Source organism: Homo sapiens, chromosome 2 (assembly GCF_000001405.40).
Source record: "Homo sapiens chromosome 2, GRCh38.p14 Primary Assembly".
Lineage (NCBI taxonomy): Eukaryota > Metazoa > Chordata > Mammalia > Primates > Hominidae > Homo > Homo sapiens.
This window is the reverse complement of record NC_000002.12, coordinates 27,332,836-27,355,274: the sequence shown is the minus strand read 5'-3', so window position 1 is coordinate 27,355,274 and position 22,439 is coordinate 27,332,836. Positions and strand designations below refer to the sequence as shown.

Below are 22,439 nucleotides of genomic sequence, written 5' to 3'. Positions count from 1 at the left end.
CTGGGATTACAGGCGTGAGCCACCGTGCCCGGCCAGGCAAATTATATGTACAGGCAATTCATAAAAGTCATATGGATGTCCAATATATAGAAAGAAGTTGCTGACACCAATTATTATCAGTGCAAATAAATAGAGTGGGGAAGAATTCTTTCACCTATCAGATTGGCGAAAATTAAAAAGATCAGTAACGGTATGATAAAATGGGTACTAATATACATAAATAGTTTTAATTTTGGTGAGCCGTTTGGTAGTATCAAATTTTGAAATGTGCATGTTCTTCAGTGTAGTACAGTAATTCCATGTTCAGATGATTATTCGAGAAAAATAATTTATTGATGAATTAATGAAGAGATTTGTACTAGAATATTTATTGCAGTATTTTTTGAAATAGTATTTTAACTCATTTGTTCATTAAATGAAGATTGTCTAAATAACTAATTCTATGGAATGCCATGCAGCAATTAGGAAGAATGAGATAAATATATGTATACTGATGTAGAAAATCCTTTAAAAAAAACCGGAATCTTCCTCTGTCACTCAGGCTGGAGTGCAGTGGCGTGATATCGGCTCACTGCAACCTCTCCCTCTGCCTCTTGGGTTCAAGTGATTCTCCTGTCTCAGCCTCCCGAGTAGATGGGATTACAGGCGCCTGCCACCACGCCGGGCTAATTTTTATATTTTTAGTAGAGATGGGGTTTCACCATGTTGGCCAGGCTAGTCTCCTGACCTCAAGTGATCCATCTGCCTTGGCCTCCCAAAGTGCTGGGATTACAGGCGTGAGTCACAGCACTTGGCCTAGAAAATCCTTAAGACTTGTATAGAAGCTCTCTTAACTGATTTCCATTTAGCTCCTTATGTTAACTGACATACTCTTATTTCCTCTCTAAATGCTTGAAGCTTGAAGGTTTTTCTCCTGTAGACGTGGTCAGTCTGCTTCCACTAGTTGAGTTGAATGCTTGCCAAGAGTCATTGTATTGGTTCCCACTTTTTTTGAGACAAGATCTTGCTCTGTCACCCAGGCTGGAGTCGAGTGGCATGATCACAGCTCACTGTAACCTTGAACTCCTGGGCTCAGGCGATCCTCCTGCCTCAGCCTCTCGAATAGCTAGAGCTACAGGTATTTGCCACCACACCCAGCTAATTAAACATTTTTGTTGTTGTTGTTGAGACAGGATTTTGTTATGTTGTCCAGGCTCCCACCCTTTTTTTTTTTTTTTTTAATGTTTTGCTTTGTCTTTATACATACGTTATAGGCTGGGTGTGGTGACTCAAACCTGTAATCCTAGCACTTTGGAAGTTGAAGCTAGAGGATCACTTGAGCCCAGGAATTTGAGACCAGTCTGAGTAAGATAGTTGAGACCCTGTCTCTACAAAAAAAATAAAAATTAGCTAGGCCTGCTGGTGTGTGCATGTGGTCCCAGTGACCTGAGAGGCTGAGATGGGGAGGAGCACTTGGGCCCAGGAGGTCAAGGTGCAGTGAGCCATGATCATCGCACTACTGCATTCCAGCCTGGGTGACAGGGGAAATAAATTTTAATATGAAAGAGTTATTGTTTCTATTAAAACTAAGTTGATTGGGAGGCCGAGGTGGGTGGATCACCTGAGGTTGGGAGTTTGAGACCAGCCTGGCCAACATGGTGAAATCCCATCTCTACTAAAAGTACAAAACTTAGCTGGGCATGGTGGCACATGCCTGTAATCCCAGCTACTCAGGAGGCTGAGGCAGAAGAATCACTTGAACCCCAGAGGCGGAGGCAGCGGTGAGCAGAGAGCATGCCCCTGCGCTCCAGCCTGGGAGACAGAGCGTGACTCTGTCTCAAAAAAACAAAAACAAAAAACTAAAAAACTAAGTTGAACCATAGATGGTTGTTTGCTCCTTTTTTTTTTTTTTTTGAGACGGAGTCTAGCTCTGTCGCCAGGCTGGAGTGCAGTGGTGCAATCTTGGCTCACTGCAACCTCCTGCAAGCAATTCTCCTGCCTCAGCCTCCTGAGTAGCTGGGATTACAGGGGTGTGCCGCCACACCCAGCTAATTTTTGTATTTTTAGTAGAAACGAGGTTTCACCATGTTGGCCAGGATGGTCTCGATCTCCTGACCTCATGATCTGCTCACCTCAGTCTCCCAAAGTGCTGAGATTACAGGCATGAGCCACAGCGCCCGGCCTTTTGTTGCTATCTTTATAGTATTTTATATGAAGTAAAAGTTTTGTGAAAACAATTCTAAAAAAGTAAAGGAAGCAAACTAAAACTAAATTGAATGCTTTAGAAAGACAAAAGAGGTGAGTTTGCAAACAAAAAAGCTGCCAAATAGGTGTGAATGAGACAACTGTAAAAAATTGAGGGAATTTTGTAAAACTGTGGAATTTTACTGCTCGTTGAATTGCTTCTCAAGAAAAGTGAATGTTTCAAGAAAGTAGTGTTGGAGCTGCTGAGAGGTCAACTTGAATGAGGCTGAGAAATGTCCATTGGATTAATAATACAGTGATTATTGATGATTTTAATTTCACTGATGAGTTGGGGGACAATATGCTTCTTAGGATGATGCAGGGAAATTAAAATAATCAAGGAGCTTTTATTTATATCTTAAACTTTTTTTATATCTATATACTTTTATTTATGTCTTAAAAGTTTGACTGTAGGAGGAGGAGAATATTAGTGGAAGGAGGAATATGGGGTGAAGGATAGTTATGTGTGAAGATGAGAATTATAAACATATTTAAATGCTGTTTGGAAGGAGCCAATAGAAAAGAAATGGATAAACTAATTCCAGTTCCATTAGGAGATGGGGGAATGGGGCTAGAACACAAGTGAAAGGTTTGGTGTTAGAGAGTGAATGAAGGTGTCAGAGGCAGGGAGTATTAGCTTACTTGGCAAAAAGTTGAAGTATCTCCCACCTAACGGCTTTGGTTTTGTTTCGGAAATCAAAAGCAAAATCATCTGCAGAGAATCGGGATCAGAGAATGTGTAGGGGGAGAGCATGTAGGGGCTGACTAGAGAGAAAGTGGGATTGCCAGTGCTCAGCAACTTAGATTCACACATAAAAGAGTTGGATGGTTGAACTTAACAGGGCTTGAGTTTTGCTAAGCATGTGGAACAAGAAGATGAATATCAGCGAGAATCTGATTGAAATGAAGGAATCTAAACTAGATAGGATGTGGCTGACATACAGAGAAATTGGAGAGATCAAGGGATAGTGGCTTGATACAGCTGGAGAATAAAAGTGATAGTGGGTAAGCAGTCTAGCTGTAATGATGGGAGATCAGATAGTTAGATGTCTTAGTGATTTTGGAGGTTAAGAGGTTTGGGTGATGACAAGGTTCAGAGAATGACAGCAAAGTGAGTAGCTGCGGTTTAGCTGAATGTTCTAAGCATCAAAGGAACAAGATTTTTACAAGATGGGGGGCGTGTGGGACTGTTGGTCTGCAAGTGGCATTGCAGAGGAATTGAAGGGACTGATCCCACTTTGAACCCTGAGGTAGGTGGGATGTGAGTGAATGAGCAACTTCCACTTGAGAGCCTGGAAAGTGAGAAATTTCATTGTCTGGAATTTTTTGCATCCAAGATTCTGAATATGATTTAGGTTTTACAAATCAAATATGCTCCTGGAGAACTTAAATTTGAATCTGATTTTAGAGAGGAGAAAGGCAGACTAGGAGGCATGTATTTGCTGGTGCAGATTTTGGCAGTGATGAGGTTCTGGATCAGGAGCTAGAGAAGCGGCTCTCCTATTTAGTTAGGTCACTTTCTGATTACTGCAGACACAACTTGTTTATGGAGCCATTGGCTGTGGTAGGGGCTTGTTGATTCAGCAGGTGGTTTCCCATCATAGCATATGTTTTGTTATTATTTTATTTTATATTTTTGAGATGGAGTCTCACTCTGTCACCCAGGCTGGAGTGCAGTGGCGCGATCTCAGCTCACTGCAGCCTCCACCTTCCAGGTTCCAGCGATTCTCCTGCCTCAGCCTCCTGAGTAGCTGGGACTACAAGTGCACGTGGCACCACGCCCAGCTAATTTTTGTGTTTTTAGTAGAGACGAGGTTTCACCATGTTAGCCAAGCTGGTCTCAAACTCCTGACCTTAGGTGATCCGCCCTCTTCAGCCTCCCAGAGTGCTAGGATTACAGGCGTGAGCCACCATGCCCGGCCTGCTATTTTTTATTTTTAGATACAGGGTCTTGCTCTGTGAGGATGGAATGCAGTGCCACAATCATAGCTCACTGCAGTCTTCAACTCCTGGGCATAAGTGATCCTCCCACCTCAGTCTCCCAAGTAGCTAAGACTGCAGTTGCATGCCACTACACTCAGCTAATTTTTTTTTTTTTTTTTTGAGATGGAGTCTTGCTGTGTCGCCCAGACTAGAGTGCAGTGGTGCAGTCTCGGCTCACTGCAAACTCTGCCTCCTGTATTCAAGCGATTCTCCTGCCTCAGCCTCCCGAGTAGCTGGGATTACAGGCATATTCCACCACGCCTGGCTAATTTTTGTATTTTTTAGTAGAGACGGGGTTTCATCGCTTTTGGCCAGGCTGGTCGGGAACTCCTGACCTTAGGTGATCCACCTGCCTCAGCCTCCCAGAGTGCTGGGATTACAGGCATGAGCCACCGCACCCAGCCTCAGCTAATTTTCAAAAAAAATTTTTTTGCAGAGACAAAGTCTTGCTGTGTTGCCCAGGCTGATCTTGAACTCCTGGCCTCAAGCGATCCTCCCACCTTGGCCTCCCAAAGTGTTGAGATTACAGGCATGAGCCACTGCGCCCAGCCCAGCACATGATTCTTGAGCCAGCAGCTGTAAATAAGAGCACCTTCCCAGTTTGATAAGCACTTGTTCCTACCAACTGTTTTTCCCTCAACCCTCATCGTGATCATTTATTTATGCAAGTGTTTTTCAGCTTGAGTGTGCGTCAGAATCCCCTGAAGAGCTTGTTAAAACACAAGGTGCTGGCCCCATCCAGAATTGCTGATTCGGTAGGTCTGGGGTAGAACTAGGAATTTGCATTTTAACAAATTTGCAGGTGATACTGATGCTGCAGTTTCTGGGGCCACACTTTGTGAACCTCTGATATGAACTGTTTAATACCGTGTAGTGAATTCCTTTCTGCTTGAACTGATTGGAGAGGATTCTGTTCTATGCAACTGAGCCAATATGGGGGGAATATTTATTTTATTTATATCTTCATTGTTCTTATCTACTTTGTCATTGATTAAAAGAAGTTATTGTTCTGTGTCATGAACATTTTGCTTTGTATCTTTTGATGCTGTTATTTGATGTTTAAATGTTCCTGACATTTATATCTTTTATATGATTTGAAGTTTTATTCATTATAAACTACTCCCTTTTGGGCTGGGCACAGTGGCTCATGCTTGTAATCCCAGCACTTTGGGAAACTGAGGCAGGGGGATCATTTGAGGTCAGGAGTTCAAGGCCAGCCTGGCCAACACAGCCAGACCCCGTCTCTACTAAAAAATACAAAAGTTAGCCAGGCATGGTGGCACATGCCTGTAATCCCAGCTACTCGGGAGGCTGAGGCAGGAGAGTTGCTTGAACCCAGGAGGCAGAGGTTGCAGTGAGCCGAGATCACGCCACTGCATTCCAGCCTGGGCAACAGAGAGAGGCTCCGTCTCAAAAAAAAAAAATAGTACTCCCTTTATTCCTATTTAATGTTTTCCCCCTAAATTCGACTTTACTATTGTCATCAAAACTCCTCCTTTGTTTTTGCTTAGATTTTGCCCTGTACATTTTAGTTGATCTTTGTATTTTCAGCTTTTTGAGTTATTTTGTTTTAGGCATCTCTTGAAAAGCATATAGTTATTTGTCTTTTAAAATCAAATCAGGGCTGGGCGCAGTGGCTCACGCCTGTAATCCCAGCACTTTGGGAGGCCGCGGCGGGCGGATCACGAGGTCAGGAGATCGAGACCATCCTGGCTAACACGGTGAAACCCCGTCTCTACTAAAAATAAAAAAAATTAGCCGGGCATGATGGCGGGCGCCTGTAGTCCCAGCTACTCGGGAGGCTGAGGCAGGAGAATGGCGTGAACCCGGGAGGCGGAGCTTGCAGTGAGCCGAAATCGCGCCACTGCACTGCAGCCTGGGCAACAGAGCAAGACTCTGTCTCAAAAAAAAAAAAAAAAAAAAATCAAATCAGGCTGGGCACAGTGGCTCACACCTGTAATCCCAGCACTTTGGGAGGCCAAGGCAGGCAGATCACTTGAGGTCAGGAGTTTGAGACCAGCCTGGCCAACATGGTGAAACCCCATCTCTACTAAAAATACAAAAATTAGCTGGGTGTGGTGGCGGCCGCCTGTAATCCTAGCTACTGGGGAGGCTAAGGCAGGAGAATCACTTGAACCTGGGAGGCAGAGGTTGCAGTGAGCTGAGATCAGGCCACTGCACTCCAGCCTGGGTGACAAGAGCAAGACTCCATTTCAAAAATAAATAAATAAATACAAAATTAAAATCAAACCAAATCTTTATTATTTTTTCTTTTGAGATAGCATCTTGCTCTGTCTGCCCAGGCTGGGATGCAGTGGTGTGATCTTGGCTTCACCTCCCAGGCTCAAGTGATTCTCGTGCCTCAGTCTCCTGAGTAGCTGGGATCACAGGCTTGTGCCACCATGCCCAGCTAATTTTTGTATTTTTACTAGAGATGGGGTTTCGCTATGTTGGCCAGGCTGGTCTCAAATTCCTGGCCTCAAGCAATCTGCTTGCTTCGGCCTCCCAACATACTGGGAATACAGGCATGAGCCTGTACCTGGTCCTATTCTTTCTTTTAATGGATGAGTTTAAATGATATGTGTTTATTGTTATGATACATGTTTTCGGTTTTTTTGTTTGTTTTTTGTTTTTTGAGACAGAGTCTCAACTCCAGGCTGGAGTGCAGGAACGCGATCTCTGCTCACTGCAGCCTCCACCTCCCAGGCTCAAGTGATCTTCTCACTTCCAATTCCTGAGTGGCTGGGACTACAGGTCCCTGCTGCCCACCATGCCCAGCTAGTTTTTTTTTTTTTTTTCCCTCAGACGGAGTCCTGCTCTGTCGCCCAGGCTGGAGTGCAATGGCACTATCTTGGCTCACTGCAACCTCTGCCTCCCGGGTTCAAGCAGTTCTCCTGCGTCAGCCTCCCAAGTAGCTGGGATTAAGGCACGCGGCACCACACCCAGCTAATGTTTGTATTCTTAGTAGAGACAGGGTTTCACCATGTTGGCCAGGTGGTCTCAAACTCTTGACCTCGTGATTGGCCCGTCCGGGCCTCCTAAAGTGCTGGGATTACAGGCGTGAGCCACTGCACCTGGCCCTGTTTTGGTATTTTTCTGTAGAGACAGGGTTTTGCCATGTTGCCCAGGCTGGTCTCAAACTCCTGGGCTCAAGGGATCCTCCCACCTCTGCCTCCCTAAGTGCAGGGATTACAGGCATGAGCCACTGGGTCCTGCCCTAAACTCACCCTTTTATAATGACACTGATCTGACTGGTCAGGGTGGAGCCCTTGTGGCCTAATCATCTCTTAAAGATCCCACCTCTTAATACTGTTACAAATGGGAATTAAATTTCAACATGAGTTTTGGAGGGGATGTTCAAACCCTAGCTCTTGGATTTCACAATCCATTTGATGTTTTTGAAAGTGCAGGAATTTTTTGTTGGAAATTTCCTTCTGTTTTCTGAATCACTTCTTCAAAAGGGTACTCTTCATCTTTCTATCCTTTTCTTTCGGTATATGCATAGGTCCTTTTGGCTTGTGACTAATTTTGAATGGGGTAGTTCTGTCAGGGCTTCTTATTTATCACAGGAATAATATAGATGGATTTTCACTGACCTTTATTTACCTTGGCAGTGTTATAATGTATCTTTAGCACATGTGTTTTCTTGTATCCTCAGCACCTGCCTCAGAGGGTTGGCCATTGCTATAGTTTATAATCTGGTTAGACTGTAGCTTCTTCAAGTGAGACAGTTGGAAGCTTTTATTTTATATTTCTTATGGGATTTGTATAAGCACACTTTTCCACTGAGACTGATGAATTGTTTATTCTTAAGGCGTATATATAGATCTGTGGGGGGCGGGGTCCCATCCTGGGATTTGAACTATGTCTGCCCCTTTGTCACAGACAGGCAGGTTATTCTGGCCAAAAACTGGACCCTTGGAGAGTTCTGTGTTGCTTAGGTTTCGGGTTTGGTGGTCAGTGATTTATCTTAGTTTACTTTGGCCCATGGTTATACAACTAATTTTTTGGGGTTTGAAGAAAATGAAGACTCATGACAATTTAGTCAATTCTTCAATGTGGAAAGGTTTCTTGGCCAGACATGGTGGCTTACACCTGTAATCCCAGCACTTTGGGAGGCCAAGGTGGGAGGATCTCTTGAGGTTAGGAATTCAAGACAAGCCTGGGCAAAATAGCAAGACCCAATCTGCACAAAAAAATTAAAAACGTATCTGGGCGTATTGGTGCACATTTGAAGTCTTGGCTATTTGGGAAGCTGGGGAGGGAGGACTGTTTGAACCCAGGAGTTAGTGGCTGCAGTGAGCTGTGATCACACCACCACATTCTAGTCTGGGTGACAGAGCGAGATCCTGACTCAGAAAAAAAAAATTTTTTTTAATTTTTAAAAATTAAAAAAGGCAAGGCATAGTGGTTTATGCCTGTAATCCCAGCATTTTGGGAGACGAAGTTGAGAGAATTGCTTGAGTCCAGGAGTTTGAGTATGTAATCACGCCACTGCACTCCAGCCTGGGCAACATGGTGAAACTTAGTCTCTACAAAAAATACAAAAATTAGTCAGGCATGGTGGTGCATGCCTGTAGTCCCAACTACTCAGGCGGCTGAGGTGGGAGGATCACTTGAGCCTGGGAGGTCCAGGCTGCAGTGAGCTGTGATTGCACCATTGCACTCCAGCCTGGGTTACAGAATGAGACTCTGTCTCAAAAAAAAAAAAAAAAAAAAAAAAAAAAAAAAAAAAAAAGGTATCAGAATGGGCACGGTGGCTAACACCTATAATCCCAACATTTTGGGAGACCGAGGTGGAAAGATTGCTTGAGCCCAGGAATTCAAGACCATCCTGGGCAACGTAGTGAGACCTCATCTCTACAAAAAATTTAAAAATTAGCCAGGCATGGTGATACATGCCTATAGTCCTAGCTACTTGGGAGGCTGAGGCAGGAGGATTGCTTGAGCTCTGGAGGACAAGGCTGCAGTGAGCTGTGATCACACCACTGCACCACTCCAGTCTGGGTGATAGAACAAGAGCGTGTCTCAAAAAAAAAAAAAAAAAAAAAAGTGGCGGGGCACAGTGGCTCAAGTCTGTAATCCTAGCACTTTGCGGGGCCAAGGTGGGCAGATCACCTGAGGTCAGGAGTCCAAGACCAGCCTGGTCAACATGGTGAAACCCCATCTCTACTAAAAATACAAAAATTTAGCTGGGTGTGGTGGCGGGCACCTGTTGTCCCAGCTACTCGGAAGGCCGAGGCAGGAGAATTGCTTGAACCTGGGAGGCAGAGGTTGCAGTGAGCCGACATCACGCCACTGCACTCCAGCCTGGGCAACGATAGTGAAACTCCATCTCAAAAAAAAAAAAAAAGGAAAAGCTTTCTTAACATAATAGGATGTTCCTTAATTGTCCCATAGTCTACCCACCACCCCCATCCAGGTGAAATATTGATAGCAGGGCACCAGAGAACTCTTTGACTCATTCTTTTTTTTAAAGACAGAGTCTCACTCTGTCACCCAGGCTGGAGTACGGTGGCATGATCTCGGCTCGCTGCAACCTCCACCCCACGGGTTCAATTGATTCTCTTGCCTCCGCCTCCTGAGTAGCTGGGATTACAGGCGCCTGCCACCATGCCCAGCTAATTTTTGTATTTTTAGTGGAGATGGGGTTTCACCATGTTGGCCAGGCTGGTCTCGAACTCCTGACCTCAGGCAATACGCCTGCCTCAGCCTTTCAAAGTGCTGGGATTACAGGTGTGAGCCACCGTGCCTGGCCAACTCATTCTTTTTAAAAAATAAATTCATTTATTTATTTACTTGAGACGGTGTTGCTTTGTTGCCCAGGCTGGAGTGCAGTGGTGTGATTACAGCTCACTGCAGCCTCGACCTCCTGGGCTCAAGGAGCCTCCCAAGTCTTCAGCCTCCCAAGTAGCTGAGACTACAGGTGTGCACCACCATGTTTTTTTGTAGCAAAGGAGTCTCACTCTGTTGCCCAGGATGGTCTTGAATTCCTGGACTCAAGCCATCCTTCTGCCTTGTCCTCTCAAAGTGCTGGAATTACAGGCATGAGCTATCGTGCCTGGCCAGAAAATTATTTTTAAATGTTTTTATTTAAAATACCATACCCAGGCTGGAGTATGGTAACACCATCATAGCTCACTGTAACCTCGAACTCCTAGGCTCAAGCAATCCTCCTGTCTCAGCCTTCCAAGTAGCTGGGACTACAGGTGCGCACCACCATGCCCGGCTAACTTTTAAAATTTTTTGTAGAGATGAGGTCTCCCTATGTTGCCCAGACTGGTCTTGAACTCCTGGCCTCAAGCAGTCCTTCTTCCTTGGCCTCTCAAAGTGTTGGAATTACAGGCATGAGCCATCCTGCCTGGCCTTTTACTTATTCTTAAATAAACTTATTCCTTGACTAATCTTTACAGAAAGAGATGTTAACATTAAGTATGCCTCTTCACTTTGGTCTAAATTTTGTAGTATCTGGCAGCTCTTTTTTGTAGTATATTTTGAGGAAGTTGGTGTCCCTTTCCTAGATTCATGCTAGACAAATTTTTCTCTCTCTTCTTTTTTGGAGTGTGTGTATGTCTGTGTGTGTGTGTTTTATTTCATTGGGTTTCAGAGACAGAGGTTAAATAATTGTGCATTCACTGCTTCATCCTTACAAGAAAATATATGAGCTTTAAATTAGATAATGTATGTATAGCACTTAGTATAGTGCTTGGCACATAGTTAGCATTTAATAAATGGAAGCTTTATGGCCAGGCGCAGTGACTCATTATCTGTAATCCCAGCACTTTGGGAGGTTGAGGCGGGTGGATCACCTGAAGTCAGGAGTTTGAGACCAGCCTGGCCCACATGGTGAAACCTCATCTCTATTAAAAATACAAAAATTAGCTGGGCGTGGTGGTGCGCACCTTGATCCCAGCTACTCAGGAGGCTGAGGCAGGAGAATTGCTTGAACCCAGGAGGTGGAGGTTGTAGTGAGCTGAGATTGCCCCATTACACTCCAGCCTGGGCAACGAGAGTGAAACTCCGTCTTTAAAAAAAAAAAAAAATGGAAGCTTTATTTGTTTACTTGTTTATTGTCTGCTTCACCAAAATGTAAGTTCCATGAGGGCAGGGACCTTGTCTGTCTTGTTTATTGTCATATCACCAGTTTCCTTTTTTGTTTTTAATTTTTTTATTTTATTTTATTTTGCTAGAGAAGGGGTCTTGCTGTGTTGCCCAGGCTAGCCTCAAACTCCTAAGCTCAAGCTGCCTTCCTGCCTCAGCCTCCCTAAGTGCTGGGATTACAGGTGTGAGCCACCGCACCTGGCTCATATTACCAGTTTCCAGAACAGTCCTGACATATAGAAGGTGCTTAGTAAATATTGTTGAATAAGTGAATAATCAGGGAACTTGGTTATGAGTGTGAGAATGAGGGAGAAAAGATGGGGAAATAAAAATCTGAGCTAGTACAAATAGTTTTTGTCCTCTACTCATTTGTGTGTCTCTGTATGCAGGGGCAGCCATTTTGGGGGGTGCTGATGGATACCTGCGGGGTCGGCTATGTTGCCCTGGGGGAGGCCGGCCCCGTGGGGAACATGACTGTGGTAGACTCTCCTGGACAAGAGGTGCTAAATCAGCTTGATGTCAAGACCTCTTCAGAAATGACCAGTGCAGAGGCTTCCGTAGAGATGTCATTACCTACCCCTTTGCCTGGATTTGAGGATTCTCCTGATCAGAGGAGGCTCCCTCCAGAGCAGGAAAGCCTCTCCAGACTGGAACAGCCAGGTATGTACCTTGTCCTCTTATCTTTTTATTCCCCATGCCAAGCTTAAGATGAAAGAGCAGATTGAGCTCATAGGATCTTACAAACCTGGGTACAGTGTAATCTTTTCCATAGAGGTTTGAGTTCTGGTCCCATCTCACAGACCCATATTCTTCTCCACAGATCTTTCTTCAGAGATGTCAAAGGTCTCAAAGCCTAGGGCCTCAAAGCCTGGCCGGAAGAGAGGTGGTAGGACACGAAAAGGCCCCAAAAGGCCCCAACAGCCTAATCCTCCATCAGCCCCACTGGTTCCTGGTCTCTTAGATCAATCCAACCCTCTGTCCACCCCCATGCCTAAGAAACGAGGTCGAAAGTCCAAGGCAGAGCTGCTGCTGCTGAAGTTGTCAAAAGACCTAGATCGGCCAGAATCTCAATCTCCAAAGAGGCCCCCTGAGGACTTTGAGACCCCTTCTGGGGAACGACCCCGCCGAAGGGCTGCCCAAGTGTAAGGATTGTGGGGCATAGCTTGGTGGAGGGGGGTTGGGTGAAGGGATCAGGGTGGGGCAGATGTTGGAGAGAGAAGACTGATGAGGTATTAGGTAAGCAGGGGTGGTGTCTGGATTCTAGGGACTTGAGCAGTCCTTTAGGCTCTTACCGCAGCACTATTAATGGTATGTATTGCTAACTTGGTTTATCTAAGAATTATTGTCTGTACTTTATGTCCTATGCCATTTTTCACAAACTTTACCCAGCTCTTTATTGTTTTACTGTCCAGTATATGTCAGTATATATATTCTGTTCCATTCTTTCTCTTGCCCTCTGTGTTCTTTGACTGTGGTAGGATGAAAAATGTATTGAACTTGGAGTGAGAAGACCTGGGTTCAGATTCCACATTTGTTATCTCAGTCATCTCGGCCAAGTCACATAACTTAGATTTCTGGTTTTTCATCTTCCAAGGGGGAAGGGGAAATTAATAGAGTTAATTGGTTAATCATGGGGTTATTGGGAGGCTCCATTGAGATAAAAATCAACCATGTCTGGAAACGTGGGTTCTCAGTCATATGTGAGAATGGCTCTGACTCTGTCCGTTCCCACAGGGCACTTCTGTATCTTCAGGAACTGGCTGAAGAGCTCTCAACAGCCCTGCCTGCCCCTGTGTCCTGTCCTGAGGGCCCCAAGGTGAGCAGCCCCACCAAACCGAAGAAGATCCGGCAGCCAGCAGCCTGTCCAGGTGGAGAAGAGGTGGATGGTGCTCCACGGGATGAAGACTTTTTTCTCCAGGTTGAGGCTGAAGATGTGGAAGAAAGTGAGGGCCCAAGTGAGAGCTCATCTGAACCTGAGCCTGTAGTGCCCCGAAGCACCCCACGAGGATCTACTTCAGGGGTAACCTCAATGGACAAGAAAGTGAATGGGGACATAGTAGGATTTTAGGGGACCAGCAAGGTACTGAGAAAGGAAGGACAGCTTTGACCTGGTAACTATAATAGACAAAACAGGTTAAAGAAAAAAGGGTCCATTTCCAAAACATTTGGCATATTAGGGAGAGCGCAGAAGAAGGGGTATGGTAAACAAGATTATTCATTCATATATTGAGTATCTGTTCTCTGTTAGGAAACACAACAAACGTAAATAAGACAGTGTATCCTGCCTCACAAGTTCACAGTGCAATCAGCACTACCCCAGGAGTGAACAAAATGATTTAGGCATATAAAGGAAAGGGTAATTAACTGCCTAGGCTTCACAGAGGAATGATAGTTGAATTGCTTCTTGAAGGATAAGTAGAAGTTTGCCAGAGAGGATGGTTTTCCCATAAATTGATTATGGCTGGAGCATAGAGCCTGGAGTAAAGTTGTAGGCGAGATTAAACTGGAGAATATGAAAGGACATAGACCTATAGGAACCAACAAAGGCTGTTTTTGTTTATGGTTTTTTTTGGTGGTAAAATGTATATAACATAAAATTTGCCATTTTAACCATTTAAAAATACACAATTGAGGCTGGGCGTGGTGGCTTATGCCTGTAATCCCAGCACTTTGGGAGGCCAAGGCAGGTGGATCACCCGAGGTCAGGAGTTTGAGACCAGACTGACCAATATAGTGAAACCCCGTCTCTCCTAAAAATACAAAAATTAGCCAGGCATGGTGGCACGCACCTGTAGTCCCAGCTACTTGGGAGGCTGAGACAGGAGAATCACTTAAACCAGGCAGGGAGAGGTTGCAGTGAGCTGAGATCATGCCACTGCACTCCAGCCTGGGTGAGACAGTGAGACTCCATCTCAAAAACAAAACAAAACAAAACAAAACACACAATTCAGTTGTACACAAACTGTACAACAAACATTTTTAAGTAGAAAAATAACATCAGTTGGGAAAATAGGTCAAACTATAGTTGACAGAAGACAGCTTTGCCAGATGCGGTGGCTCACGCCTGTAATCCCAGCACTTTGGGAGGCCAAGGTGGGTGGATCACAAGGTCAAGAGTTCGAGACCAGCCTGGCCAACATAGTGAAACACCGTCTCTACTAAAAATAAAAAAAAAAAAAATTAGCTGGATGTGGTGGCGCACGCCTGTAATCCCAGCTACTCAGGAGGCTGAGGCAGGAGACTCGCTTGAACCCAGTAGGCGGAGGTTGCAGTGAGCTGAGATTGCACCATTGCATTCCAGCCTGGGTGACAGTGTGAAACTGTCTCAAAAAAAAAAAAGACAGTTTCAGTTATCCAGGTAAGAGATAGGTCCTAAATCAAGCAGTGAAGGAAGAGAAGAGCAGGGAGGGGGCAGATTCAAGAGATATGTAAGAGGCCAGGTGCGGTAGCTCACACCTGTAATCTCAGCACTTTGGGAAGCCAAGGCAGGTGGATCACTTGAGGCCAGGGGTTTGAGACCAGCTTGGCCAACATAGTGAAACCCTGTGTCTACTAGAAATACAAAAATAATTAGCTGGGTGTGGTGGCATACACCTGTAGTCCCAGCTACTCGGGAGGCTGAGGCAGGAGAATCACTTGAACCCAGGAGGCAGAGGTTGCAGTGAGCTGAGATCGCGTTATTGCACTCCAGCCAGACTCTGTCTTTAAAAAAAGAAGAGATATGTAAGGTAATTTTTTATTTTTATTTTTGTAATTCTTTTGTTTCTGTGTTCTCTCACATAATGGAATATGTAAGAGAATTAACAGTATTTGGGAATTGAAGGGAGGGAGGAAGTTGAATAGCAGTTTCCAGCTTAAATGGTGGCATCATGCACTGAACCTGGGAACACGAAAAGGGTGAGGGATGTGGGAGGGGCAAAGGTGGGGAGGGGAGAAGTTGAATTCACTTTCTTTTTTCCCTTTTTTTTTTTTTTTTTTTTTGAAACAGAGTCTTGCTCTGTCACCCAGGCTGGAGTGCAGTGGAGTGATCTCATCTCACTGCAACCTCTGCCTCCTGGGTTCAAGTGATTCTCCTGCCTCGGCTTCCCAAGTAGCTGGGATTAAAGGCACGCCCCACCACGCTCAGCTAACTTTTGTATTTTTAGTAGAGATGGGGTTTCACCATGTTGGCCAGGCTGGTCTTGAATTCTTGACCTCAAGTGATCTGCCCGCCTTGGTCTCCCAAAGTGCTGGGATTACAGATGTGAGCCACCACACCTGACAGAATTCACTTTCTGACATGTTGAGTTTGAGGTGCCCATGGGCCATGGGTCATTCTGCTGGAGATGTCTGGTCACCAGTTGCATATATGAGACCAGTGCCTTACTTGCCTCACGTGCAACATCTAAGGGATAACAGAAACCCTCAGTAATTGAGATAAATGCTATTTTGATGCAACATTTAAAAAAATCAATGCAACAAATCATGGATATTTCGTTCCATGATGAACAAAATATCAAAATTTTAAATAAAGACAGGATCTTTACTGATTTTTTTTTTCTTTTTTTTTTTTTTTTTTGAGACGGAGTTTCGCTCTTATTGCCCAGGCTGGAGTGCAATGGCATGATCTCAGCTCACCACAACCTCCACCCCTCCCGGGTTCAAGCAATGCTCCCGCCTCAGCCTCCCAAGTAGCTGAGATTACGGGTGCACACCACCACACCCAGCTAATTTTTGTATTTTTAGTAGAGATGGGGTTTCACCGTGTTGGTTAGGCTGGTCTCGAACTCCTGACCTCGTGATCCGCCCGCCTCGGCCTCCCAAAGTGCTGGGATTACAGGCATGAGCCACCATGCCCGGCTTTACTGATTTTTTCAACTGATTACTGTTTTTTTCCATTTGCCTCATGCTCTAATATGGCTTGCCACAACACTGTCTAGAACTTGTAGAGAAGTTGAGACTGAGTCAGGTTTACATGACGGAAATGTAAACTTGATAATCAGGCATAAAGATGGTAGTCAAGCTGGGTTTGGTGGTATGCATTTGTACTTCAAGCTACTCAGGAGGCTGAGGCAAGAGGATTGCTTGAGCCCAGGAGTTCAAGTCTGGCATGGGCAACACAGCAAGACCCTGTCTCTAAATTTTAAAGAAGGCCAGGTGTGGTGGCTCACACCTGTAATCCCAGCACTTTGGGAGGCCGAGGGGGAGGGATCGCTTGAGCCCAGGAGTTCAAAACCAGTCTGGGCCATGGCGAAACCTTGTCTCTACAAAAAAATACAAAAAAATTAGCCAGGTGTAGTGGGGTGTGCCTGTAGTCCCAGCTACTCAGGAGGCAGAGGTGAGAGGATTGCTTGAGCCCAGGAGGCAGAAGCTGGGGCTGCAGTGAGCCAAGATTGCGCCACTGCACTCCAGCCTGGGCAACAGAGTGAGACCCTATCTCAAAAACAACAAAAAAACAAAAAGACAGTAGTCAAAGCCATGGGACATGAGATGAGATTACCAGGAGTGTGTGTGTGTGTGTGTGTGTGCGCGCGTGCGCGTGCGCGCCTGTGTAGAGGGGCGAGAAGACGACAGGAACTCTGGGGAATACCATCATCGAGGAGACCTGTCAAGAAGGGAGAACCTGTGAAGGAATATTAAGAGAGGGGAGAGGAGTAAGGGAGACTATTCCATAGGGCGGGAGTTTCAAAGAGGCATAAGGGAATCCTGTGAATCAAATACCATGGAGATGTTGAGGAAGCTGAACAGAAAATAGGTAACAGATTTTGCATTTTCGATGGAGGAGTAGAGCAGAAGGTGAAGAAGTCATTATAGTGGTTGAAACACAAATCTTTTAAGATGCTGATAGGGCAGTGATTGGAGGGGGAGGTATTGCCAAAGAAGATAAAAACTGGGAAAGAGCTGTCTCTGGGACTTTGTCCAACCTGTAGAATTTGCTCCCTTATATTTTCTTCAATTTGATCCTCAGAAACAGAAACCACACTGCCGAGGAATGGCTCCCAATGGCTTACCAAATCATATCATGGCTCCTGTTTGGAAGTGCCTCCATCTCACCAAGGACTTGTGAGACTTGGGGACAGGGGGCTGGGGTTAATAAAGGGGTGGTAGAGGAGTGCAAGGGCGGTATTGAAGTGGGGCCGTGGGAAAGAGAAGCACTCATGGGTGGAATACCGTGATGACATTCATTACTAAAAAGCACTGCTCTAGAGGCAAGAGCTCTAGAACTCTTTAATTAAAGTGAAATAAAATGAAAGGCTCTGTTTCTCAGCTGCGCTAGCCACATTTTAGGTGCTTGGTAGCTAATTGGAGCTAGCAACTGGCATATTGGGGAGCACAGATAATGGATCATTTCCATCCCCACAGAAAGTTTTATTGGACTGTGCGGCTGTAGAATCCCTCTCCTTCATTAATGCTTCTTCTGTTTCTCCAGCCGAGAGCAGAAACATTCATACTGGGAGTTTGCTGAGTGGATTCCTTTAGCCTGGAAGTGGCACTTGTTATCTGAGCTGTAAGTTGAAGCAACATCTCTGTAGCTTAGGAAGGGTGACACCACTGGAGACGAAAGGGTGACAGAGGCTCTATAATGGGAACCCTGAGATGGGTGAAACACTTCCAAATTTAGACTGTTCCCTTTGTCTTCCCCCAGTGAGGCCGCTCCCTACCTGCCCCAGGAGGAGAAGTCTCCATTGTTTTCTGTACAACGTGAAGGGCTACCTGAAGATGGCACCCTCTACCGAATAAACAGGTGAAGATTGCACATCCGCCCTTTTTTCTGATTCTAGGAGCCAGAAACAAGAAAAATGAATGTTGAAAGAGATGACAGATAAGTCCTGTCCTTCCCCTGATGCTGGTTCAGTTGGTCCCAAGAATAAGAGTGCTGACTAGAGCTGGTCAGTCCTCTCTGATTTGTAGTGTTCATTACTGGCAGGCTGAGGGAAGCTAGAGAGATTTAGGGGCCAAAGCAGTTCACAAGGTTACATCTACTCAGATAGACCTGGACAGACTAGCCTTAGGGAGACTACTATAGTATGCCAGAATGAACAGCCCTGAAGATGAGCTGGAGTTAGACAGACTTTGGAGGCCGGGTGTGGTGGCTCACACCTGTAATCTCAGCACTTTGGGAGGCCAAAAAGGGAGGATTACTTGAGCCCACGAGTTCAAGACCAGCCTAGGAAACATAGCAAGACCCCTATCTCTACAAAGAATTTAAAAATTAGTGGGGTATGGTGGCATATGCCTGTAGTCCCAGCTACTCCAGAGGCTGAGGTGGGATAACCACTTGAGCCTGGGAGGTCACGGCTGCAGTGAACCGTCGATCATGCCACTGCACTCCATCCTGGGTGACAGACCCCATCTCAAATAATAATAATATAAGACAGACTTTGGGAAGGAAAGGAGGAAGATACAAGTGGAAGCCAAGGACTCTGTTCTCACTTGTAAACTGTTTTTGATATTCAGGCTCTTGCTTGAGCCAGTTCATACTGGCTCTGGGTGGAGCGCCCATTCAGTCCTCATTACCTTTCATTAATTCCTTTCTTCATCCCATCTTTGATTTTTCTCTAGATTTAGCTCGATCACAGCACATCCAGAGCGCTGGGATGTGTCCTTCTTCACGGGGGGACCGCTCTGGGCTCTGGACTGGTGCCCAGTGCCAGAGGGGGCAGGAGCCTCGCAATATGTGGCTCTTTTCTCCAGCCCTGACATGAATGAGACACACCCACTGAGCCAGCTTCATTCGGGTCCTGGGCTGCTCCAGCTCTGGGGCCTTGGGACCTTGCAGCAAGAAAGCTGGTGAGGTGGGGTTGGACACTGCCATGGGAGGGTGGTTGAGGACAGCAGGATGGGGTCTGGACAGGATAGGGGGAAGGGCTTGGATTGGGCTGAGACAAGGGGAGCTTACCTCTGGCAGCCCTGCGTCCCTTCTTCCTACCCACCATCCCCACATGCTCTCTCTCTCCAGTCCTGGCAACAGGGCCCACTTTGTCTATGGGATTGCTTGTGACAACGGCTGCATCTGGGACCTCAAGTTCTGCCCCAGTGGAGCATGGGAACTTCCAGGCACCCCTCGGAAGGTACTTCCCAGTCAACTGTGGGATGGCCCTAGGACTCAAAGCCAGGACAAAGAGGCCCTGGGAATTCTTAGAGTTGAAGGAACGAAGGTTGGAGTGTAGTGGATGGAGTTTTTCCAGCAACTTCATACAGTATTTCAGGGACTAGAACCTCAAAGGTTTTCTGTGAGTCAGCTGAAGGCAGCAAGCCTCAGCATACCTTTTACCCTTTAGGCTCCTCTCCTGCCCCGGTTGGGTCTCTTGGCTCTGGCCTGCTCAGACGGGAAAGTACTGCTATTCAGTCTACCCCATCCGGAGGCCCTGCTGGCTCAGCAACCCCCAGGTGAGTAGCACAGCAAGGAGAATGGGGCTGCTGTAGTGGTGGTCACAGCATAGCAGGGCCTGTCTGTCTCCCTGGAAACTCCTCTGGGCCAGTCTCTCTTAGCACAAAGCCTTACTCAGCCACACACACACCCTGCATTGTGACTCAGGTTTGTTCTTGAGCCCTCTCTCTTTTGCAGTCTTACAGCTGTACTCTTTCAGCACATTTCCTTTTATCTCCCCCTTCTTCCCTCTTCTGTGCTCTCAAGACTTTCCCCCTCTTGCTGCCACAGGTAACTGGCTGTGTAAAGAGCTGCTGAGGGCTTGGGCTGATAGATAGGGCCCATCTCCCCTGCTATACTCTTGTTCCCCCAATCCTGTTCTTAGCCTCTCCTGCCCTCACCACCACACAAACACAATCTCTTGTTCTGCTGAAGAGAGGGATGGAATAGAGAGCTGAAGATGAGCAAAAGGAGGGAGGAGTCAGGAAAAGGCAGCTCCTATATGTTGAATTTATTTTTCATTAGTACTGAGTATTTAAAGAAGAGGGCACCCAGGCTGGAGCCCTGGGAAGTCCCATATGTGGTGGTCTGGTGGAGTGGGTTGAGGAGGTAATAGAAGGTCAGAAAGTAAAGATAGTAAATATAGACCATTCTTTCAAGAAGTTTGGCTGTGGGGCTGGGCATGGTGGTCCATGCCTTAATTCCAGTACTTTGCGAGGCCTAGGTGGGAGGATTGCTTGAGCCTAGGAGTTTGAGACCAGCTGGGGCAATATAATGAGATGTCGTCTCGACAAAAAAATTTTTAAAAGTAGCCGAACATAGTGGTGCATGCCTGTAATCCCAGCTACTTGGGAGGCTGAGGTGGGAGGATCACTTATGCCCAGGAGGTTGAGGCTGCAGTGAACTGAGATTGTGCCACTGCACTGTAGCCTGGGCGGCTTAGTGAGATGCTGTCTGAAAAAAAAAAAAAAATTTCGCTGTGAAGGGGAACCAGTAATTGAGGGTGGTGGATTGCCTAAGTGTGGTCAATAAAGGAAGGTTTTGTCCCTTTATTTGGATAGGAGACATTAGGGCATGTTCACATAGCAATATGGGAGTGACCTAGACTAGGGAGGGAACAAGTGGATGACACAGGAGGAAGGAGGATAACAGAATGAGCAGTGTTCTGGAAAAGGTGCTAGAGGATGAGAAGAGAGTAGAGTGAAGGGATTGCTCTTCTGATAGGAGGAAGGATACTATCAGGTGTAACAGAAGGAAAGAAGATGGGAACAGATAGAGGTAGGTTCATAAATTTGGTGATGAAAAGATAAGGACTTTCTCAATAAAGGATAAGGGAATGTCATTATTCAAAGGATTGGTTGCTGATTTAAGAGAAGGCCTGTGTCCACAGAGGAGGTCTAAAGGAAAAAAAAAAAAAGGCAAGGCCTGGCTAGGCATGGTGGCTCACACTTATAATCCCAGCATTTTGGGAGGCTGAGGCAGGAGGATTGCTTGAGCCCAGGAGTTGGAGGCTGCAGTGAGCCATGATCATGCCACTGCACTCGGGCCTGGGTGACAGAGTAAGACCTGCTGAGTCCTTGGGATCCATAGAGTTAGTTCCTGCTCTTTTTCCTCACAGATGCAGTGAAGCCTGCCATATATAAGGTGAGTGAGGAACCTGCTACCTTAGCTGAGGCTCCATCTTCTTAGAGCCTCACCTTGCTGATTCCACAGTGAGTCTCCTTATACTTCTGAAAAATACCCTCATCCTGCTGGATTAAGCACTGATTTGAGCTTTCGTTCCAAACAGTGTAGGTGTCCCTAACCCTAGTCCCATCTCTTCTTTCCCTGCAGGTACAATGTGTGGCAACTCTGCAGGTGGGGTCTATGCAAGCTACAGACCCCTCTGAGTGTGGTCAGTGCCTTAGCCTGGCCTGGATGCCTACCAGGCCCCACCAACACCTAGCTGCTGGATATTATAATGGTAAAAAAACCAAAATAAAACATAAGGAACTATTGCTCTTTAAATTTTTTATATATGCTTGTTTTTTGGTTCTTTCTTTGGTGGTTCAATACTGGACATATAGTTAGAAATATTCAAGCAATGTAAAAAAAAAAAAATAGAAAGAAATAAGTCACTAGACTATTTCTACTCAGAAAAAAATTAAGAGTACATAGATGCTGGGCCAGGCGCGGTAGCTCACGCCTATAATCCCATCCTATTGAGAGGCTGAGGCAGGCAGATCTCTTGAGGTCAGGAGTTCAAGACCAGCCTGGCCAATACAGCGAAACCCTATCTCTACCAAAAAAATACAAAAAATTAGCTCAGGATGGTGGCACATGCCTGGAGTCCTAGCTACTTGGGAGGCTGAGGCCTGAGAACCCAGGAAGCATAGGTTTCAGTGAGCCAAGATCACACCCCTGCACTCCAGCCTGGGCAACAGTGAGATCCTGTCTGGAAAAAAAAAAAAAAAAAAAAAGAGTAGATGCCGGCCAGGTGTGGTGGCTCATGCCTATAATTCCAGTACTTTGGGTGGCCAAGATGGGAGGGAATCACTTGAGGCTGGGAGTTCAAGACCAGCTGGGCAACCTAGTGAGACCTCATCATTAAAAATAATAAAATTTTGCCGGGTGCAGTGGCTCACACCTGTAATCCCAGCACTTTGGGAGGCTGAGGCAGGTGGATCATGAGGTCAAGAGATGGAGACCATCCTGGCCAACATGGTGAAAGCCTGTCTCTACTAAAAATACAAAAATTAGCTGGGTGTCATAGATTGCACCTGTAGTCCCAACTACTGGGGAG

The 22,439-nt window shown here is 45.9% G+C and overlaps 1 protein-coding gene and 1 long non-coding RNA gene across 19 annotated transcripts in view; one reads left to right on the top strand and one right to left on the bottom strand.

Annotated features, from left to right (window-relative positions):
- Positions 1-22,439, top strand: part of GTF3C2 (general transcription factor IIIC subunit 2) — a 30,911-nt gene that overhangs the window by 1,490 nt on the left and 6,982 nt on the right. For 4 of the 18 annotated variants that reach the window (NM_001521.4, NM_001394507.1, NM_001394505.1 and 1 more), the window contains 12 exons: positions 4,886-4,961; positions 11,697-11,967; positions 12,128-12,449; positions 13,042-13,327; positions 17,255-17,349; positions 17,717-17,794; positions 17,933-18,031; positions 18,850-19,077; positions 19,247-19,358; positions 19,569-19,677; positions 21,276-21,301; positions 21,491-21,620. In NM_001521.4, coding sequence (NP_001512.1) covers positions 11,721-11,967; positions 12,128-12,449; positions 13,042-13,327; positions 17,255-17,349; positions 17,717-17,794; positions 17,933-18,031; positions 18,850-19,077; positions 19,247-19,358; positions 19,569-19,677; positions 21,276-21,301; positions 21,491-21,620 — 1,732 coding nt within the window. In that variant the 5' untranslated portion in view covers positions 4,886-4,961; positions 11,697-11,720. Of the gene's footprint in view, positions 1-1,019; positions 1,118-4,642; positions 4,962-11,696; positions 11,968-12,127; positions 12,450-13,041; positions 13,328-17,254; positions 17,350-17,716; positions 17,795-17,932; positions 18,032-18,849; positions 19,078-19,246; positions 19,359-19,568; positions 19,678-21,275; positions 21,302-21,490; positions 21,621-22,439 lie in introns of all 18 variants that reach the window. The other 14 variants (NM_001035521.3, NM_001394511.1, NM_001394508.1 and 11 more) reach the window with 8 other exon arrangements.
- On the bottom strand, positions 17,472-19,733 carry GTF3C2-AS1 (GTF3C2 antisense RNA 1). Its single transcript, NR_038427.1, has 4 exons — positions 19,555-19,733; positions 18,805-18,983; positions 17,949-18,064; positions 17,472-17,838 (listed from the first exon to the last, which is right to left on the bottom strand). It is a non-coding gene; the product is annotated as a GTF3C2 antisense RNA 1 (long non-coding RNA).